Source organism: Homo sapiens, chromosome 22 (assembly GCF_000001405.40).
Source record: "Homo sapiens chromosome 22, GRCh38.p14 Primary Assembly".
NCBI lineage: Eukaryota > Metazoa > Chordata > Mammalia > Primates > Hominidae > Homo > Homo sapiens.
In genome coordinates this window covers 27,304,820-27,325,655 of record NC_000022.11, presented here as the reverse complement: position 1 = coordinate 27,325,655, position 20,836 = coordinate 27,304,820, and the positions used below count along the sequence as shown (strand labels likewise).

Here is a 20,836-nt window from a genome sequence, read left to right as displayed (position 1 = left end):
TCTTCATTGACCCATCTTCCATCCATCCATCCACTCAGTCACCTTTCATCTATCTTTATTTTTCACAATCTTTCTCTTGTACTACCTGCCTTCCATCTAGGGCTCTGCTTTTATCCCATTCTACCTATCTGGTGGTCTTGGCAAATGTTTTCATTCTCCTCCTTTCTTTTCATCCTGTTTTGTTATAATGTCTGCATGCACCGGTCTCCCAAGTGACTCTGAGTTCCTTGGAGGCAGAGGCTAGAAATCATTTGTCTCCATGTCCCAAGACAAGCAAAGGGCCCAACATGAACCAAGTCTCCAAAAATATCCACTGAATGAGTGTCTGCCTTTTGTCTACCCATCCATCCAACCATCTATCCCCCATCCATCCACCCATCCACACACATTCATCCATCCATCCATCCATCCATCCATCCATCCATCCACCTATCCATCCATCCATCCATCCATCCATCCATCCATCCATCCATCCAACAATCCATCCATCCATCCATCCATCCATCCATCCATCCATCCAACAATCCATCCATCAATTCATCCATCCATCCACCTATCCATCCATCCATCCATCCAACCATCTCTCCCCCATCCATCCATCCATCCATCCATCCATCCATCCATCCATCCAACAATCCTTCCATCCATCCATCCATCCATCCATCCATCCATCCATCCATCCATCCAACAATTCACCTACCTATCCGTCCATTCATCCATCCATCCACCCACCTATCTATCCATCCATCCACCTACCCGTCCATCAACCTACCTATTTATCATCCATCCGTTTTGTGTTGCAGTATTTATTTAAACAAATGAGCTACAAAACTTACATATTAGAAAAGTATATGGCCAAGCTACACCAATCTTCATTGTACAACTTGTTGGGCCTTCACATACATAGACACCCATGAAACTGTCAGACAGAACAAGATTTAGAACATTTCCAGTATCCCAAAAGACAACCTCTTATCCCCCAAATTCATATTTCCTCAGAGATAACCATTCTTCTGACCCCTAGCATAGCTTGGTTGCACCTGTTTGGAAACTCATGCAAATGGGATTGTCCGGTTTCTCTCCTTTTGTGTCCGGCTTCTTTTGCTTATGCATATGCCTGTGAGATTCGCACATGGATGTAGCAGTAGATTGTGCTTTACTGTGTGTAGGATGTCATGTTATTTATATATATATCAAACTTCCCTTGATTCACCTTCCCCTCCTTCCTTTTCTCCCACCTCCTTCCTTCCTTCCTTTCTCCCTCAACTCTGGCATGGGCCATGTGAGACCCTGTATTCAGCTCCAGCCATATAGAGCTTGGCAAGTCTCAGACCCTTGAGAGGCAGACAGGGACACGGCCCTTAACCGTCCAGGGAGGTGAGTGAGATAATAAAGGCTGCAAGGTGCCCAGGGGCCCAGGGGAGAGAGAGGTAATGTGTGGGACCTGGGCTGATCCTCTCCAGACTGCCTGCTCAGTGCCTGTCTGCTCATGTCTCCATCTTTCTGTTCATCCACCCACCCACCACACGTCAATGACCCTCCCCAAGGTCAACCTTAGGGAAAGTTGCCCTTTCCTGCTCCCCTCTTCCTCACCCAGGTTTTCCCTTTCAAATCCCCCTTGTGTGAGCAGCTACTCTCACTAAACAAAGCAGCCAACTGCAACCCAGCCAGGCACTGGGAACCCACATTGGAGCCGGATTTGCTTTGGGGTAAGAAAAAAAATATGGCCAAATGTTGAGAATCGGGCGTTTGAAGTTCGCACTCCAGGACGCTGAGCCGGGGGAGATCACACCTCCCTTGGCAAGGAGCCCCTCAGTCTGCCCGTCCGGCTGCTGAGCCCGAGCGCTCGGGCCCCCAGCCTCTCCACATCTCGCCTCCCCCAGAAGGAGGGTGGGTTTGGCTGCTGCGCCTGAGCTGCGGGAACTGACACCCCATGTTTGGGAGCCACGTGAAACCTTCTGTCTGAGGAGTGGGATGTCCCTCCCACCTCTTGTGGGTTGGCCTGGGGTGGGGGCGGGGGAGCGCCAGGAAGAGACTGAGAACGAGGGTGGAAGAGATGCGATGGTAATTGCTTCCCAAGCCTGGGGAGCCCCACACCTGCCTGAGGTCCAGCCTCACAGAAAAGTCCCAGCCCCTAGAAATCACATGGGCAAAGGGAGAACTGGGCACATCTAGGTGGCCTCAGAAATTTATTTCCCCTCTGAGCATCTGTTTCCCTTCTCCAACACGGGGATAATACCATGAATATTAGGTGCAATATTGCATGCAGAGCTCTCAGGCGAGAGGCAGTCCCCAGTGAGGCTCTGACGAACACGATTACCATTGCTGAGTAGCAAGCCATGTGCCAACACCTTTGTGACAAGTCTTTTCAGTACTCTACACCTCAGTTTCCCCTTCTGTATGATGAAAATACCAATCTCTATTGCAGGGTTAGTCATGAGGGGTTAAACAAAGTAATGTGAGTACGATCCCTGCAAAGTTCTGGCACACAGTAGGTGCCCCATAAATCTTAATCTTCTCAAAGAACCTCTGCGGGCCAATGTGTTGCCTTTCTAAAAATTAGAAGCCTGTTTATTCCTCTGGGTAAATGCAGCTCTCTGCCAGGGTGCATGACTGTTACAGAATGGGAACTGGGTTTCAGCCACTGGTCTTTTACTCAATCAGGGGTTCTTCGTCAGTGTGCAACCTGCACAGCTGTCCGCCTATTCTGTATCCTGGGAGCCCTCGGCTCTATTGATAGCTCTTGTTTTAGCGCCTAGTTCTGTCTCACACACTTCAATTCTTCTTTGTTTTCTGATGCTGGTTGCCCAGCCAATAACTGCCTCTCTCCGCAGCCTCTGACCTCCTGAAAGAAACACCGCAGGTGCAGTCAAAAGACTTGGATTTGCACGAGCTGTGTAACCTGGGGCAGGTGCCTTCCCCACTCTGGGCTTCCGTTTTCCTGAATGCAAAACGAAGATATTTGGTTAGTTGACTTCTGAATGGCATTCCAACCATGGTAACCAGATTTTTGTTCTTTGTAAATTCATTATATCAAAGCGTTATTATTTATGACTCTCAAATATAAACTTTATTGTTTTCAAACTTCATCTTTTGCCAGCAGAAAACTCCCAGTTGTTCCAGAGGTCCCAGATGAACAATTTCTGGTGGCTGCAAGCATTCCCAGCAAATGATGGCATGTTCAAGGCATTATGCAGGTCATAATCCCATCTCACCTTCCTTTTATCACCCTCTCTTTCTACTCTCCTCTTCATCTCTCTTGTTTTCTTCGCTTGTTATTTTAGTCTCTCTTTCCTCCCTCCCTACTTTCATTTTTCTTTCATTCTCTCATGTTATAGACTGAATTGTGGCCTCCCCAGGCTCATATGTTGAAGCCCCAATTGGCAATGTGACTGTTTGGATATAGGGACTTTAGGGAGATGATTATGATTAAATGAGGTCATAAAGGCAGGGCTCTAACCCAATAGGACTGGTGTTCTTATAAGAAGAAGAAGGGACATCAGAGATCTCTCTCAGAGCACAGGGAGAAGAAACGCCATGTGAGGACCCAGCAAGAAGGTGGCTGTCTGCAAGCAGAGAAGAGAGCACTCACCAGAAACAGAATTTGCTGGCACTTGTATCTTGGACTTCTGGCCTCTGGAAGTGTGAGAATATAAATTTCTGTTGTTTAAGCCACCCAGTCTGTGGTATTTTGTTACTGCAGCTGGAGCTGACTAATACTCTCTGTTTTAAAAGATTTTCATGAGTTATCTTTGCTTAGCAGACTCTTGCTACTATCTGCATCGATCTACACTGGGCTTGAGCATGAACATCCTGAGGGGCCACCCTGCTCTGATGCCAGGCCCTGCAGGGGCTCCATGACCATGGGGCATGAGTGAGTTCACAGCACTGAGATGCACATGAACAGGGCTTCAAACCCCAGCTCACCTCTGATGCCCCTGTGAGTGTGGGCACATGGCTTTAAAACCTCCACTTCCTCATCTGAAATCTCCCGTCATGTCCTCCCTGGGAGCTGAGGGATGGGGCTCTAGTTAGATATTTGGAGGCAGGGATGTGTAAGTTGGAGGAGACCAAAATGTCCTGTTGGAGACCAATGCCCTTGGTAAGAGACTTTCACAGCCTCTAGATGGTCTGGGCTTCTTATTAATGGCAGCTGGCACTTAGAGAATCTGAGTTCTGACCCCAGCATTTAGCTTGAGTCAGATGTTATGTGCATTGCCTCCATCAGTCCTCATGGCAGCCCTAGGATGCTGGCCCCACTATCAAACAGCATCAAGCAATGGTTAGAGAGCCAGACCCTGGAGCAAGATGGCCTGGGCTTGCATCTTGGCTCTGACCTGTACCAGCTGGGTGACCTCTGTTTTCTCATCTGTTAAATAGGGAGAGTGATTTAAAATCCACCTTATGGGGAGATTGAGGAGACTAAATAAGTAATGACTCTTAGAGCAGTGTTGGTTACAGAGCAGGTCATCAGTGAGTGTTCGTGATCATTACCATTTCCATTTTACAGATGAGGAAACTAAGGTCTAGAGTAGCTGTGGTCATATAGTCATAATCCAAACCTGGCCACCAGACTCCAAATTCCTGCTCTGAATACCACCTGCTCTTATTTGCAGTGTGACAGCTCTTCACCTGACAAGAGGATGTTGTCATCTTCCTGACATCCCCCAGCACCTGCATAGTGAGATGCAAATCTACCTCAGGGCACTCAGATGCCACCAGACATGGATGTAGCCACCGATTCTCCAGACACATCTTGCCCTTTCATTTGATGCTCTACTGGATCTTAAAATGACAGTCAGGCTACCTGTTTCCTGTCTGCACACCTTTGGCTACACTCTCTGCTACTCATCTTTCAAGGCCAAGTTCAAACATCACCTCCTCACGGAAGCCCTCCTGGTGTCCTCCTGATTGTTCCTACAACCTCTGCATCTATTTCCACAGCAGCCCTTGACACATCATGTCCTGTAACATGTCTGCTTGTCCATTCTCCTCTGAGTGTGAGCTCCTTGAAGACACAGCGATTCTCCAGGGCCTAGCACAATCTCTGCCATATAGTATGTGCTCAATAAATACTTACTGAATAAGTGAATAAATGGAGCAATAACATACTAATTGAGTGGATGAATAAATGGAGGAATAACTATAAAATTGGCTGGAATCGTGGTATCATTCTCTAAACTTCCAGGGACATCATTATACTTTATTATCACAATATTTTTTTTAAATCAGCCCTTCTTAACAGTGTCTTTCATAAAGCAAAATTATTTAAATTTGATCAAGTTCAATATATTGATTTTTAAAATTGTATAACTCATGCATTTTTGGGTTTTTTTGTGTGTGTCTTACTTAAGAAATCTTTCCCAAACTCAAGGTCATGAAGAATTTTCTCTTATTTTTTCATAGGAGTTTTATATTTCTTGAGGCCATGAACAGCGTCTGTCACATTCATCTCTGTGACTCTAGTACTTAGCATAGTGTCTAGTACGTAAGTCTCAATAAACGAATAAATGTATGATGGGTGAGCAGTGAGTGAATAATATCCCACTCTCCACCCACTGAATCCATGTGCATGGAGCTGAGGGGTAAGTAGGTGGATCAAAAACAAAAATAAGAACAAAAACAAAATACCCAACCAATTTCTTCTTCTGGAAGTCTAGCTAAAACTCATTTTGAACTGATTTCCTTAAAAAATGATCAAAATTCTGTATTGCACAGAATAAGAACTGTTAAAGATTTGAAAATTGTATTAATATTAAAAATTAAAAGTGTCTCTTTATTAACAGCAACAGAGTAAAAAGGCAAGCCACAGAGTGGGAGAAAACTATTTGCAATACATGCAAGTGGCAAAGATTCGTACCCAGAGTAAAAAAAAAAAAGACAACTCAAGAGAAAAACAGGCAAAAACACTTGATCAGGAACTTTACAAAAGAGGACAAACACGTGAAAAGGTGGGTAACCTCATTCATTAGTCGCCAGAAAAGTGCAAATTAAAACACACTGAGATCCCACTATGAACCCATCAGGGTGGCTAACACAATAAAACATAATATCAAGCATTGATGAAGATACGGAGCAACTGGAACTCTCATAGTTGGTAGAATGTGAAATGGTACAACCACTTTGGAGATCTATTTTTCAGCATCTACTAAAGCTGAACATACACCTACCCTATAGCCTAAGGATTCCACTTCTAGGAAACATCTACATATGTTCACCAAAGTCACACCCAAGAATATTCATCACAGCACTATGTGTAAGAGTCCCCAAACTGATGATTACCCAAATGTCCACCAGTGATAGAATGGATGTGTAAACTGTGAAATATTCCCACAGTGGAATATTATCTAGAAGTAAAAATGAACAAACTGCTGCAACACATGACATGCAGCGACATGGATGAACTTCACAAAATAATACTGAACCAAAGAAGCCACACATAAAAGAAAACATACTGTGTAAGTCCATTTACATAAAGTTCAAAAACAAGAGAAAGCAGTCTATGAAGGTGGAAAGCAGGAAAGAGTAGTTATCTTGGTGGTGTAAGAACTAGTGGTGCTGGGGCTTGAGAGCTGTTTTTGGGGTGCTGGTAATTTCTATTTATCAATCTGGGTGCTGAATCCTTGGGTGTGTACACCTAGTAGAAAGTCATCAAGTTGCATACTCATGATGTGTTCACTTTTCTGTGTATATATATCCTACATCAAAAAAAAATTTTACTTAAAAAGAAATTGCCCTGCCAAGTTAGGTTTGGGGTGATATTCCCAGCTGCATCCCTGAGCCTTGGTGCCAGCTGGGCCAGGGGGCCTTACTTCCTTCCTCTTGCTGTTTCTCAGAGCCTGCACCAGGGAGAAGAAATCTTTTTTTCCCTTCTTACTCTTTCCTCTCCCTTGGCCTGGAGCTATTGTACATATGCAAATGCAGCAATGTCAGCTATTGAGAGAAGCTCAGCTATTTATAGCTGGAGTCTTGCAACACTTATCACAGCCTCTGCAGACTTTAGAAAGGCTGAAACACACACACACGCACACACACACATACATGCACACACACACATGCATGCAAACGCACACACACTACACAGAGTATATTTTTTTCCCCAGGATATAAATTTCCCATCCCATTGCAGTCTGGGCCGTTGCATGCAACATTGATTGTCTGTTATATTACATTTATTAAGAAGTGATAACTTGTAATAATTGGATGTTAAATTAAAGAACTCTCTCCTAGTTATTGCCGTCTCAATTATAACTGTCGTTGGCTGGCAGTTATAATGATATATGAGGGTTGTATTTTACGCAGCCGACCATGACCTGGTGAGTAATATTCCCCCAGCTATGGGGGCACTCATGCACTCCTTGGCTTCCAACGCCTTGCTTGGGTGCTGATTGGAATATTAAGTTTCTGCAAGACTGAGATGCCGAAATCCACACGGAGAGCCGCGACTCCACAGCTGAGAGCCCCCTCTGGCAATCTCCACCCGCCTCCTGCTTCTCCTCGCTGGTACATGTCCAACTCATTTCGGCTTTGTTTTATGGTTATAGGAATCAGGTTTATTTGGTGAGTTATAAAGTCGTAAAACGTGGGTGAGAGCGTGTTTGTGGTTTCCTTTAAGATGAAGCTTCTGCAATTAGCTCTTGGGTCCAAGTGCCAGTGGACAGAGACAGTTGCAAGTGGAAAGCAGGAGGGTGGAGGGATTGGATTTATTTAGAAGCATCTGATGGCTGATCCTTCTAAATAGAAGGTGGCTGAGTTTCTGCAGGGGTATCAGGGAGAAGAAGCTGGCAGCTCTGAGGCTCTGGAGTGGAGGCCTAAGTGGAGTGCTGAGGGCTTTCAGTGGTTGCTGTTGCTCTAGGCTTCTGACCCCTGCCCAGGTGAGAGGGCCTGAACTTACTTAAGGGGCCACTGTGGGCCCAGGTCTTGGGGACAAGGCACTCTCTCGTCCCCTCTCTCTATGGATAGACAATAGGTTCAATGAGTCACTCATATACACCCTCTTTCTCATCTGCTTCCTTCCCTTCATCAAAGCCAGCAGAAGTGACTTCCAGCACATCAGCGGTGGCTGCAGGGCATTCAAGGAGGATCTGTTAAGAATGGGACCCTGGGGAACCCTCTGGACAAGCAGTCCTCGGGGAAGGTAGGGGTTATAATTCTGGACTACTCCCAGGGCTGCCAGTGACAAAGCACCACAAACCAAAGTGCTTAAAACAGCAGATATTTATTCTTTCCCAGTTCTGGAGGCTGGAAGTCTCGAAGTCTCGAATCAAGGCACTGGCAGGGCTGTGCTCCCTCTGCAGCCTCTAGGGGAGGATATTCCCTTGCCTCTTCTGGCCTCTGGGAGCTGCAGCGGTTCATTGGCTTGTGGCTGCCTCATTCCAATCTCTGCCTCTGTCTTCACACGCTGGTTGTTCCTCTTTGTGTGTGTCTGTGTCCAAATTTCCCTCTTCTTATAAAACTAACAGCCATTTGATTTAGGGCCCAGCCTACTCCAGTGTGACTTCGTCTTCACTAATGACATCTGCAAAGATCCCATTTCCAACTCAGGTCACATTTCAAGGGGTTAAGACCTCAACATATTTTTGGGGGAAGCAATTCAACCCATAACACCTTCCAATTTTACAGGCGAGAAAACAGTCTCAGGTACCTGCAGCGAGAGCCCAAGTTGACAGAGCAAGTAAATGGCTGAGCTGAGATTCCAGTGAGCTCTGTTTGGAGCACCATTCTGACTCCCTCTTCTCCTGTCAGCCTTTAGGCAGCTGGGGCGAGTGGCAGGGCTCTTGGTTCAAGGGAGATCAGGCCCCTTGCAGGTGGGGTGCTCTGGGTCTCACCAGAAGATGTCCACTGGCTTCTTTCTGAGGTCGAACAGCCAATGAATGAATAATTGCTTGAGTCACAAAAGTCATTCATTCAACAAATATTTACTGGGTGTCCCCGTTAATCCCAAACAAACCAGACAAAGATCTCTGCCTCAAGGAGGTAGCCTTTGGAAACAGAGAGACAGAGATAGAGAGAGAGAGAGAGAGAGAGAGAGAGAGAGAGAGAGAGAGAGAGAGAATGAGCACCTAAATAGGTTAAGAATAGAGAATGTCAAGGAAGGGAATACATGCCATGAAGAAATATGAAGCAGGAAGGAGGCTAGGTAGTGTTGTCTTATTACATGGGCTGGCAGCAAGCTCTCCCTAAGGTGACAGCTGGGACTGGAAAAGGGAAGGCAGTGGCATGTGGGGAAAGAACATCCCAGGCCAAGGGACCAGCAAGTGCAAAGGCCCTGAGGCCACCATGTGGGGCAGGCTACAGTGGGGTGAGTGGTGGGAACTTGGGGTTTTCCTCTGAGGGAGCTGGGACACAGGTCGGGGTGTCTCCAGCAGAGGAGGGACTTGACCTGACATACATTTTAACTTGCAGAATCAACAATTGAGAATGGCATAAAAACCCTGGGGACTCTTGGAGGTTGCTGCCATAAACAGGCGAAAGGTGCAGGTGGCCTGGACTTGGGTGGTGGCTGTGGAGGTGGTGAGAATTGAGTGGACTCTGTCTAAATGATGAAGTTGGAAGCAACAGCGCTGGCTGGCTGTATGTGGACTGGGATGTGAGCAGGAGAGAGGAGTCCAGGATGACTGCCAGGTTCTTTTTCTGAGCAAGTGGGAGGGTGGCACTGTCCTAGGCTGAAATGGGGACACCCGTGCAAGTGGAGTAAGTTGTGGGGGTGTCAGGTGGGGATCATGGTTGGAGTTTGGATGATGTTAGGTCTGGGTGTTGTTTAGATGTCAAAGGGGAGATGAAGAGGAGGAGAGGAGGCAGGTGGGCACGGGAGGCTGGTCACAGACATTGGGGCTGATGGCACCCACATGGCATTGAAACTGTTAGCCGAATGAGGTGTCCTAGGGAGGGCATGCAGGGGAGAAGAGTGGCTCCAGGAGTGTCCTGTTGTCAGGAGGAGAGGGCCCCACAGAGCTGATCAAAGGCACAGCCGGTGATGGGAACACAGCAGGATGGGAGGTGCCCGGGAAGGAGGCAAGGACTCCTTTGCAGAAGGCAGAAGTGACCTGATTCTGAGAAGCCCAATAAGACAGGATGAGTCTTGGCCATGAGGGAATCTGCAACTGGCCACAGGGGTGTTATTGGATTAACACCTGCCCCCTGATACATATTCATTCTGTGGATTCAATGTTACTTTCCTACAACAGAGAATAGAACCCCTTTATTTTATAATGGGGGAAATGGAGGGTGGTCAGATGAGTCAAATTGACAGAACAGGGACTAGAAGCTAGATGTCTTGACCATTGTCCCAAGGCCATCCCATCCCCTGATCTCACGATTCTACAAGAAACCAACCTTCCTTTAGGACTTCACTCTACTAACACTCTCCTCACGCAGGCCCTCAGGACAAGCCAATGAAGTCTCCTTGAGTTCACTTTAGGAATGAGACCCTGTTACCTGGCCAGGGTCACACAGTTGGAAGGTGGTGGGGCTGGGATTTGAACCTGGGTTCTGACTTCAAAGCCCATGCATTTTCCCACTGACCTGACCCTTGCACCTGTTGTTCCCTCTGTCAGAAACAGTGTTCCCTCTTTTACCCTCCATTTCCTCCCTACCTCCTACTTACCTTTTCAAGCTTAGCTTCAACGTCACTTCCCGGAAGGATCCTTCTGCTGGTGTCTGCTCCATCAGGACCCCCTCTCAGGTCTCAAAGATCACTGCTCCTTTCCCATAGCACCAACCAGAGTTTGAGATGAAATAATCATGGTGCCTGTGTTCATTTATAATCTGACCCTCTGTCTTGGCTCTAAATGCCAGGAGGCAGGGAGGGACCATGTCTGGTTTCCCTGCAGTTGTGCCCCCACTACATAGCACAACGCTTGGCGCATAGCAGGTGCTCAGAATATTTTTCTTATCTGGAAGGGAAACATTCACTGGGTGTGTCCTGACCTTTGGTTTAAGAGCTCTCACAATATGTAGCAATTGCTAGCGCATAGGCCAACTTGCCCCTGTCCTTTGCAGATGGACCAGGGCTTCCCAACCATATTTTTAGGAAAGATAAAAGGTATGGAGGAAGATATCGACACCCGACTCGGGTGTCTGCACAAGTCACCTTGCTGGCCTCCCCAGGCCCCTGATGACATCATCCAACACAGCTCAGCAGGGCCTTATCTACTTTGGCCCTGCTTTGTATCTTACTTTGTTTTATTTCCCTTCAGGCATTTATCACTGTTGGACACGTTGCCATTGCAGATGTTTAGTAGTTTCTGTCTCCCACCGTTGGATCATCAGCCATACATGGGCAGAAACTTGCCTTTCTTGAAGTTGTAACTTCAAAATCCAGCCCCATGGCATGGCCCATGGCCCAGAGAACGTACTCTGGTGCTAGAGAGTGCTGTTGCTGTGATTAAGGGTGCCAGGGTGCTTGCAAGTCCAAACACACCAAAGCCATTAAAACGGCCACTGATTTGTTCAGGAGAGTGAACGAATAATGAACCAGGCAGTTCTTGTACACTTACTATGTGCTAGCAGCAAGCTAAGCCCTTGATACACATGTCCTCTTGAATTTTGATAGCCACCCTTGGGATTTCCACCTCCTAATTTTCAGATGGGTAAACTGAGGCTCAGAGGCAAGGGATGACTTATCTTGAGCTGGGATTTCAGTCCTGGCCCAGATGTCCACTTCGCCCACACCCTGTGGCTTCCTTTATGAATTACCCCAGAACCAGGCCCATAATGAGTAGTTGACACATGGTTGTTGAATAACCAAATGTCTGCTGGACAGCAGTTTCCATGAACATTTGTATTTCAACATTTTTTCCAGGAGACATTTTTACAGGAGACGTTGCTGTCCTGGAAGGACACTTCTTAGAAATATCTGTTTTCTTTCTTGCTTTTCTGTAAACAGAGCATCCAATCTCTCCCACTCTCTTGCATTTTTTTAAAGAATTAATTGCCCTTTTCATGGCTTTGGTGTGTTTGTACTTGCAAGCACCCTGGCACCCTTAATCACAACAACAACATTCTCTATGAACAGAGAAAATTTGAACAGTCATTAAGCACCAGTGAATGTGGAGCGTATTAATGGGCAAACAGTAAGTCGGGGGAGAAGAAAATGTTTTTCTCTTGCAAAGTACATACGAAAAGTTGATCCAAACCAACATGCTGCCATAAATCTGTTAATTTTGGCAAATTACTGGGAGTTAGCAGGGGCGGCTGGAGAGAAGGAGGCAAAAGGTTGGCCGGAAACTGCCCACCCACTTCAGAAAGGAGAAGCTGCAAGCCGGAGGGAGCCGGTGGCTTCACTCTTTGCCCAGAAGCTGGCTGCCCTTTGCTGGGGTTTCTCTGGTCTTGAAGCCAGTGTGTGACTGTCTCTCTAGGTAGCCGGGGCCGTGGCCCGATTAAGAATGCAGCCTGAAACTGGGATGAAGGGAGGCCCAGGCCTGAGGGCCAGGCCTGAGGGGCTGCAGCCTCTCAGGGGGCTCTACGGTTCTTTCCCATTCCAATTGCATTGCTGGTCCACTCTGGGCCCCTGACCTGGGCTGCCTCCTCCCGACCCCTTTCCTCCTCCTCCCCCACACCCAGACCCAGTCTGGCTTTGGTCTGTTTCCTTTGGCTCAGACCTTGTATTGCTCTCTCTGTTCTGGGACTGAATTAGGTTCAGGGGTAGGGGGAGGGAATTGACTGTGTGCTGTAAGAGTGTATGTGTGCCTCTAGATGGCTGTGTGCCTGGATGTGATGTATGTGTGCATGCATGTGTGCATATATGTGCATGTATGAGGGCACGTGAGTGTATGTGCACGAGTGTGTGCATGTGAATGTGTGCATGTGAGTATGTGTGTGCACATACGTGTGTGTGAATGTATGTGTGTGTGCCTATGCATGTGTGTGTACACATGAGTGTGCATGTATGAATGTGTGAATGTGTGCGTGTATGTGTGTGCCTTGAGTAGGTGTGCGCATATGCGTGTGTGTGCTTGTATGTGCATGCACATGCATGTGTGTATGTGTGGTGCATGTGAATATATGTGTACCTTGAGTATGTGTGCATGTTAGTGTGTATGTGCACGAGTATGCATGCGTGCACATGAATGTGCATATGTGTGTGCATGCATATGTTTGTGTGTGTACAAATATGTGCATGTTAGTGTGTGTGTGTGCACACTTGAGTATGCATGTGTATGTGTACACCAGCCTAGGTGCTAGTGTGTTAGAGAGGGGTGGGGAGGAGCTGCTGGTGTCACTCAAGGCTTTTGATAACAAAGAACATTTTTTCTTCCCAGTGGAAACAAAACCCAGCCTTCCAGAGACAACTCATGCCCTCTCAATCTCCCTCTCTCCACCCCCTCCTTGTTCCCCTCTCTGCCCCTCCTTCTCTCTCCTCCAGAATGTTTTCTTTCTCAGTGCTCTTTTTCTCATCTTAGATTGCTTTCTCTGTCTTTCAGGCTTCTCATCATCTTCTCGATTTTTTTCCCGTTTCTCATTCATATTTCTGTCTCTCGCCATCACTCTCCCGTCTCCTCTCTCTCTCTCCCCTTTCTCTCGCTCCTTCTTTCCTCCTGTCCTCTCCCCTGACCCTGATTCATCCTGTGGAGTTCAGAGCTGTCACACTACGGACTTCACCATGTGAGCAGGAAATGAAGGAGAAACACAAACGCCACTTCTCTTGGAGCCAGTCTTAACTCACAGATTCCGTGGGGCACAGAGGTGACGGCAAGATGCAGAATGCCAAGTCCCCTTCTCGCCACTCCTCTGTCGGGTGGGGCTGTGGGGCCTGCAGGAGGCTCCTCTGTCCCAGGTGCCTTTTCCTGCCTCTTCCTTTTCCTGGCGGACACAATCCTCTCCTTTGCGGCTTGCTCCTTCTCAGCCCAGCGGGGGTTTGCTCTTTGCTGCCTGGGAAGCTGACTCCTCGGCCATGTGCTGCAGCATGAATTGGTTAACATATTTACAGTAAATATGCTCCTGGTTATGCCGGAGGAAGGGGCTGCTTTGGTTAAGCATTTATTACTGAGGCGGCTATTTTCAATGTGTTCCACATGATCATTCGGCAAAGCTGCAATTCGGCACTTGTTCTAGGCTTGAAGGAATCGCTTCCCCAGAGGTGACCCTTGGCGGGAGATTGCATGTCACTACATGAGGAATGGCCGCGGCGGGTGTGATGGGTAGGCTGTCTGCCTTCTCTGACCTCAATCGCTTTCCTGCGGTGCGGCTGCCGGGACAGATGAGGGTTGACACAAAGTGCTTATAATTTCCTTTGGAAAGTGGCAGAATGATAATGGGGTGCTGAGCCCCGACCGGTTGGCCTTCACAGGCCGGGAACTCCTGTTGGGAGTGGCCGTCCTAATGGGGACAGGGAGAGGCTTCGGTTGAATTAAGAGAATGCCCAGCAGGTGGGGAGAAAGTTGCAGATTCAGGAGGCAGATTATTTTGGGACCCAAAGCTAGCGGGCCACGCAAGGAACAGGTTGTACCGAGTGCCTGCTGCGTCCTCAGCACCACGCAGTGAATGTTCTCCCATGCACTGCGATGTCTCCATCAGCGTGAGGCCTAGTTGGGGTGCAGAGGCAGTGCAGCACAGTGGTGACAAACCCCGATCCTGTGCCCACACACTCCAGCTCTGCCCATCCCCAGCCCGGTGGCTCTGCACGAACGACCTGACCACGCTCATGTCTTGGTTTCTCTGCATGTGAGGGGGACGACATCAGTGCCTGCTCAGAGGGCCGTCCTGAGCATCCTAGGGGCCAAAGTTGGGGAGCACTTCGAACAGGGCTGGGCACACAGCAAGCTCTGTTGGAGCGCTATTAGCATTGTTGTCATTGCTGTTGTTGTTATTCTGTGTTTAAGAATGCAATATATGAATAGATGAGGCAGGCTTCCATAAGATAAATCAGAACGCTGAGGCACTGAGACATTGAGAACCTTGTAGCCCAGCGTAAAGCACTCAGGAGTTGGAAGTGGGGTTAGAAATCAGTATTCATATTCCACTTGATGTCTCTGAGGGGCAGCCCTTCCGAGGTTTGTCTCCTGCCCTCCCTCCCTCCCCCCTCCTTCCCTCCCTCCCCCCTCCTTCCCTCCCTCCCCCCTCCTTCCCTCCCTCCCTTCCTTCCTTCCTTCCTCTCTTCCTTTTTTCCTTTTTCCCTGTACCCTTCCTTCCTTCTTTCCTCCCTCCTTCTCTTCTCTCTCTCCCTTCTTCCTTCCTTCCTTCCTTCCCTCCTTCCTTCCTTCCCATCCTCCCATCTTCCTCCATCTCTTTCTTTTTTCTTTTCTATTAAATGTTAATTTCTCCTTTTGAATAATGAGACACGCATGGCAATTGGCCATGTAAAGGACACTTGGGACAAATCTGATCATCCCTCTGGAGAGCATAGCAGCTGGGGACCATGTGGCCCTGCCCACCGTCACCCCATGGCATGCAATAGGTATTCAATGAATACTGTCTCATTTTTCCTTCATCAGAAGTCCCCTTTGGACAGATCATTCCCCATCTCTGGGCCTGAAAATATGCCAGACCAGGTGCCTTGGATCTGGGTCCTCCTGGCCCTGAATCCTGCACCTATCAAGCAGAGCAACCCTGGGTGAATCCTGGAACCTCCCTGGACCTCGGGGCTTCCATCTGCAGAATCTTCTCCTGGGAGTTGTGAGGCTTAGGGGAGGAGAGGAAGGCTCTCTGGGAGCCAGCAGGGCCAGGAGCATCTTGACCTCTTGCAAAGCTGGGCCTTTGCAAAGCAAAGCTTGACCTCTTGCAAAGCTCTTGCAAAGCTGGGCCTGGTTATTGGCAGGATCTATAAGCATCTGGCTGATCTAGGCTATTCTTGGACTTTAAAAAATAGCCAGAGGTGCAATCGTGGTTACACAAAGTAGGCACTCTGAAAATATTTGAGCTCTGCAGGATGCATTAGGAGAAATGCTAACAATGTTAGCATTCCTGGAAGGAAGGGTCTGGAAGAAAGCTCAGGCTAATTTAGGAGATCCCCTCTGTGCCATCCTCTCTTAGGACACCTTCCAGCTTGCAGTGCCCTTTTCTTCTGTTTTCATATATATATATATTTTGTTTTGTTTTGGTTTTGGTTTTTTTTGAGACAGAGTCTCACTCTGTCACCCAGGCTGGAGTGCGGTGGTGCAATCTTGGCTCACTGCAGCCTCCGCCTCCCAGGTTCAAGTGATCCTCCTGCCTCAGCCTCCCAAGTAGCTGGGATTATGGGTGCCCACCCCATGCTCAGCTAATTTTGTGTGTGTGTGTTTTTAGTAGAGATGGGGTTTCACCATGTTGGCCAGGCTGGTCTCGAACTCCTGACCTCAGGTGATATGCCCACCTAGGCCTCCCAAAATGCTAGGATTACAGGCGTGAGCCACCACACCTGGCCCTGTTTTCCTATTGAGTGCATGCATGAACACATGAGTCGGGGTGGGTTGTGTCGCCTTTAGACAGATTTAGTCTCTCCACACAGGTATTTGATTTGGGTATGAGGAAGGTTGCTTCAAGCTGGTCAGGGCTGTGGTAATGAAACATTGTTAGCATTTCCAGATCTGGAAGAATGGTCTGTGTCCTAGCCATCTGGGAATATCGTAACTGGCTGTCTTCTCTCTCTCTTGTCCACTCTAAGACATGAAAATATAACTAATAATTGTTCATTTCAGAGACTCTTTCCAACCACAGGGACAAAAAGAGTGGCCCTTCCTCAGAAACCCAAACCTGACCACATTGCTCTCCTCCTCACATACTATCTTAGTTTGAATTTCCCCAGAAGCAGACTTTGAGATAAGGAACTAGGGACAAGAAATATTTTTGGGGAGGGGATTCCAGGAAGCCCCAAGATGGGAGTGGGAGAAATAATCCAGCCAATAAAGGGTATGTCTTAAAGCCAGTTATCAGTGTGGGTGACTGGAGCTCACTCCAGCAGACAAATTCTAGAAAGCCCTAAAATCCAAGCTTCAGAATTCATCCCACCTGAGGAGTGAGGGAGCTGGGGTATTGATACACCATCTCCCAAGAGTCACTAGCTGAGAGCTGCTTTGGGTTGGGGCAGGAAAATCCCTTGGCACTTCCAGCCTACCCTGTGGATCTCTAGAACAATCCCTAAGACTCAAAGATACCAACAGCTGAGCACACTGAATTAATAAGGCTGAAGGCTGCAAGTAAGTTTCCAACAGGGCTGCTACACAACCCTCTCTCAGTCTGTATACCTTTTGCTCACAGAACTTTCCTGGCTGTTAAATGCCTCTTCCCCATGCTTTTAAGCACTCCTTTCCCCAAATGTCATGCTTCTTGCAACTGTGTTTAACTGTCTGTGCATTTGTCTGCTTGCCCCCATCCTGTGTTCCAGCTGTGAGCCCCATGAGACAGAGCCATATCTTATCCAACTCTCCATTCTCAGAATAAATGTTCAACATTAAAAAAAATGAATCCTATGGAGATGGGGCAGACAGAGGTTCACAGGAGAGGGAATTGTGTGGGAGCAGAGCCTCAAGGAGAGATACTCAAACCCTTGTAGGTAGCAGACTTCACGAGCTGCCAAGGTGGAGATACTTTTCTCTGGATTCGCCCCTGTTCTGACCATCAGTGTCCCCACCCAGCCCAATTTCAGGAACAGGAGAGGGAGAGACAGAACCACACCCTTATTAAAATTGAGGCCTTTGCTCACAGTGAATGGAAACAGACGAATCTGAGATCATCCTTGGCAAGAAATGCTGGGAAACAGAATATTCCTTTTGGGATGTTGATGGTTGAATCTCAGCACAGCTTTTGGCTTTATTTCCATCTTGTTGATACCTGAAATAATTGTGAAAAGTTTGAGATCATCTCTTGGGCCCAGATGCTCATAGGTGGTCCTGGGTCACTGAGCATAAGACAGTGATGGGTAGCTCATGCCAGGGACTTTGAAGAGATGAGTGATTTTAGGCAAAGCACCTTGGCTATGATGCCACAAAGACGGGAGGTGGCCACTTCCTGTGAGACAGGAAGTGGAGACAAATATATAGGGAAGCCATTTTCAGAGCAAGGGTGGCTTGTGGATTCATAGAAGTTCTTAATATTTCCCATCCTGACATATTAAGAATGAAGGATGTGTTGTCCCTTACTAGCTCTCAGTTAAAACATCTTCTTATTTCTCAGTGTTGAAAGAACTATCAGGGGAAAGGAAGAAGAGAAGACAGACCAGCATGGATGCAAAATCAGGGACTTCAAGGGATTTCCAGATCCATCTGAGATGAGAGTTTCATAATAATCCTGCCACACTTCCTAGCAAAGCTCCCTTTCTGCCACTCTCAGAAGCAGGTGACATGTTTACTTCATTTTAAGCAAATTCAACATATGGTTACTCAAGTTATTCCTTTTATAAAATGGATCCCCTACAGTAATCATTGAAGAAGCAAGATCTCCAGTACACATGAAAAGCAATCTGTTTTTAAAATGAATTTTATTTTCAAGCAACTTTTTCAAAAGTAATGTTTGTGATTAGTACAACTAATAATTCTTACATGCCAGACACTGTTCTAAGCTTTCCAATTCTCATTTAATTCTTGCAACAATGCAGTGAGGCTGGTGCTGTTTATATTCCCAATTTATAGATCAAGTAAGTGAGGCATGAAGAAATAAGATAACTTGCTGAAGGCCATCCAGCTAGTAAGCCTCAGAGCCAAGTATAAACCCAGACTGTTGGGGACAGAGTCCATAGTTTTGATTGCTACAATTTTCTGCTTCTACACATGAGAAGGAAACTGGCTAGTATTCCGGTCTGGCCAGACTGGGAAGACCCATGCTGCCATCTGTCATGGGGTGAGCTTCCAACAGGAACAGTCTGCTCTGAACCCTCTTTTATTCTCACCTGTTCTGCTTACCTCTGGAGTTTGTCATTTGGGAGACTTGAGCCTTCCTCAATCTCTAGCTTCTATCACAGAACCTGGAACTGTGTAGATGCTTAATGAAGCGTCTGCTAAATGAATGTTGGGTGAGTGAGACAGTACACACACGGATTCCTTTGCAGTGATGTGAGCTGCTCACACTGGATGCACACAGGCAGAAAAAAGAGAGAAACTGAGGCAGTTATTGGAAGGCTCAGCTCAAATCCCTTCCTACTTTGATGACTATCTTTGGTTCTATTATATGGAAAATTCCATATGGGGACTGCAAGCTCTTTGAATGCAAAATTCACCACCTCTGCCCTATTAATGGATTCCCAATATCTGGCACAGTGCTTGGCTTGTAGTAGGGATACTGTATGCTGAAAGCATGAGCAGTTGGTGGAGTGAAGGAATGACTGGGAGGATGAATACATATTTCCTACCCTGCCAATGTCCAGCTCAGCAGCCTCTAAACTTGTGCAAGCATCAGGATCTCTTGGAGAGCTTGTGACAACACAGATGGCTGGGTACACTCCAGGAGTGTTTGATTCAACAGGTCTGGGTTGGACCCAGGAATCTACATTTCTGACAAGTTCCCAGGTGATGCTGATGCTGCTGGTCTGGGCTATCTACCTTGAGAACCACTGGTCTTAGCAGCCCTAGCTCACTGGTTCTCAATCTTCACTGCATATTGGAACCAGCTGCAGGAATTTAAGAAAATGCAGATTCCTGGGCTCCTTCCCTGGACATTCTCATGCAATTGATCTGAGGTGTGGGCAGGCATTGGGGATTTTAAAAGCTCCCAGTGTGGCAGGGTGTGGTGGCTCACGCCTGTAATCCCAGTACTTTGGGAGGCCAAGGTTGGCCGATCACTTGAGGCCAGGAGTTAGAGACCAGCCTGGCCAACATGGCGAAATCCCATCTCTACTAAAAGTACAAAAATTAGCTGGGTGAGGTGGCATGCACCTGTAGTCACAGCTGCTCAGGAGGCTAAGGCATGAGAATCGCTTGAGCCTGGGAGGTGGAGGCTACAGTGAGCCAAGATTGCACCACTGCACTCCAGCCTGGGTGACAGAGCAAGACTCTGTCTCAAAAAATAAAAAATATTTAAAAAAAGAGCTCCCAGCGTGTTTCAAATGCAGCATAGCCAGAAAAGCTCCAGCCCGGCATTCATCTTTGACTCTTTACCTTGATCTTCTTTGTGGCTGAATGGGTTGGAGGGCTTATGAGTGGTTTAGCTCACGTCTGTGCCTCTTGAGGCCCCCAAAAGCCACCTTCCCTGCTATATTCTGTGCTTGTTCCAGGCAACAGCTTCTCAAGGTGCTGCTTCCCTGAAATTTCATGTCTGTTCTTTGACGCCGTGAGACCCCATCCCAGCCCTCGCCCACCCCGCACGCTGCAGTGTCTATTAAGAGCAGATGCTAAGCCATTTCCAACAGGCCTTGAAGCTAATACGCTGCAGAATGGATTCAGAAGGACCTGTTTGTGCGCTGAGAAAGAGAGTGAATTAATGCTCAATGAAAACCTCCAGAGAACCGGAGTCAGGGCTGGGGGGAAGTTGGTGGCTAAATCAACAGTTATAAACTCGCCCAGTCATTTTTCATTATTTGGTACATTGGAAAGTTATTTTCCTTTTCAAATGCAGTTGGAAATCCATTTGGTCAAAAGTCGGTCAGAAACCTCATCACCATTGCCCCTGAAAACTCACAGCCTCTGTCAGGGGGGTGGAAGGAAAATGGCCCAGGTCCCCAGCAGAAGTCGAGGTGATGAGGCCATGAAGGGGAGTGATGGGGACTGTGTGATTTTTCAAAAATGTTGCCTATGGGTCCAAACTTTTACATGGATCTGAATATATGGTGGTTTAAATTGTGGATCTGGAAGTGAAGCCATGGGTATCCTGTGGTTTCAAGGAAAGAACAAATCCAGGTCCCGATGGCTCTGGCTTCAGTCTAACATGGCCCTTTCTTTTGCAAGAGTGTGAGCAGAGTGTGAGCTAGAGATTGGGCCCTGAGGAGCAA

General features: G+C 47.4%; 2 long non-coding RNA genes across 2 annotated transcripts, besides 5 other annotated features; one reads left to right on the top strand and one right to left on the bottom strand.

Moving 5' to 3' along the window:
• The first annotated feature begins 3,434 nt into the window (after positions 1 to 3,434).
• On the top strand, positions 3,435 to 4,716 carry LOC105372979 (uncharacterized). Its single transcript, XR_938121.2, has 3 exons — positions 3,435 to 3,644; positions 3,764 to 3,940; positions 4,617 to 4,716. It is a non-coding gene; the product is annotated as an uncharacterized LOC105372979 (long non-coding RNA).
• Positions 5,054 to 5,223: an enhancer, noted in NCBI's record as "experimental_63195 CRE fragment used in MPRA reporter constructs". NCBI's record gives its function as "activates a minimal promoter by MPRAs in K562 erythroleukemia cells, with activity observed for both the introgressed and non-introgressed 22:27716479 variant alleles {active_cell/tissue: K562}" and the evidence as "EXISTENCE:reporter gene assay evidence [ECO:0000049][PMID:34662402]".
• Positions 5,495 to 5,664: an enhancer, noted in NCBI's record as "experimental_63191 CRE fragment used in MPRA reporter constructs". NCBI's record gives its function as "activates a minimal promoter by MPRAs in K562 erythroleukemia cells, with activity observed for the non-introgressed 22:27716038 variant allele {active_cell/tissue: K562}" and the evidence as "EXISTENCE:reporter gene assay evidence [ECO:0000049][PMID:34662402]".
• LINC02554 (long intergenic non-protein coding RNA 2554) lies at positions 7,816 to 15,005 on the bottom strand. The gene is made up of 2 exons (NR_134581.1): positions 10,607 to 15,005; positions 7,816 to 8,852 (listed from the first exon to the last, which is right to left on the bottom strand). It is a non-coding gene; the product is annotated as a long intergenic non-protein coding RNA 2554 (long non-coding RNA).
• Positions 11,334 to 11,535: a silencer, noted in NCBI's record as "fragment chr22:27710082-27710283 (GRCh37/hg19 assembly coordinates)". NCBI's record gives its function as "represses an EF-1alpha promoter that drives an FKBP-Casp9 reporter gene in an ReSE screen in K562 erythroleukemia cells {active_cell/tissue: K562}" and the evidence as "EXISTENCE:reporter gene assay evidence [ECO:0000049][PMID:32094911]".
• Positions 13,486 to 14,259: an enhancer, noted in NCBI's record as "NANOG-H3K27ac-H3K4me1 hESC enhancer chr22:27707358-27708131 (GRCh37/hg19 assembly coordinates)". NCBI's record gives its function as "activates a minimal SCP1, AML or CMV promoter by ChIP-STARR-seq in primed H9 embryonic stem cells {active_cell/tissue: H9 hESC(primed)}" and the evidence as "EXISTENCE:reporter gene assay evidence [ECO:0000049][PMID:30033119]".
• Positions 14,260 to 15,034: an enhancer, noted in NCBI's record as "NANOG-H3K27ac-H3K4me1 hESC enhancer chr22:27706583-27707357 (GRCh37/hg19 assembly coordinates)". NCBI's record gives its function as "activates a minimal SCP1, AML or CMV promoter by ChIP-STARR-seq in primed H9 embryonic stem cells {active_cell/tissue: H9 hESC(primed)}" and the evidence as "EXISTENCE:reporter gene assay evidence [ECO:0000049][PMID:30033119]".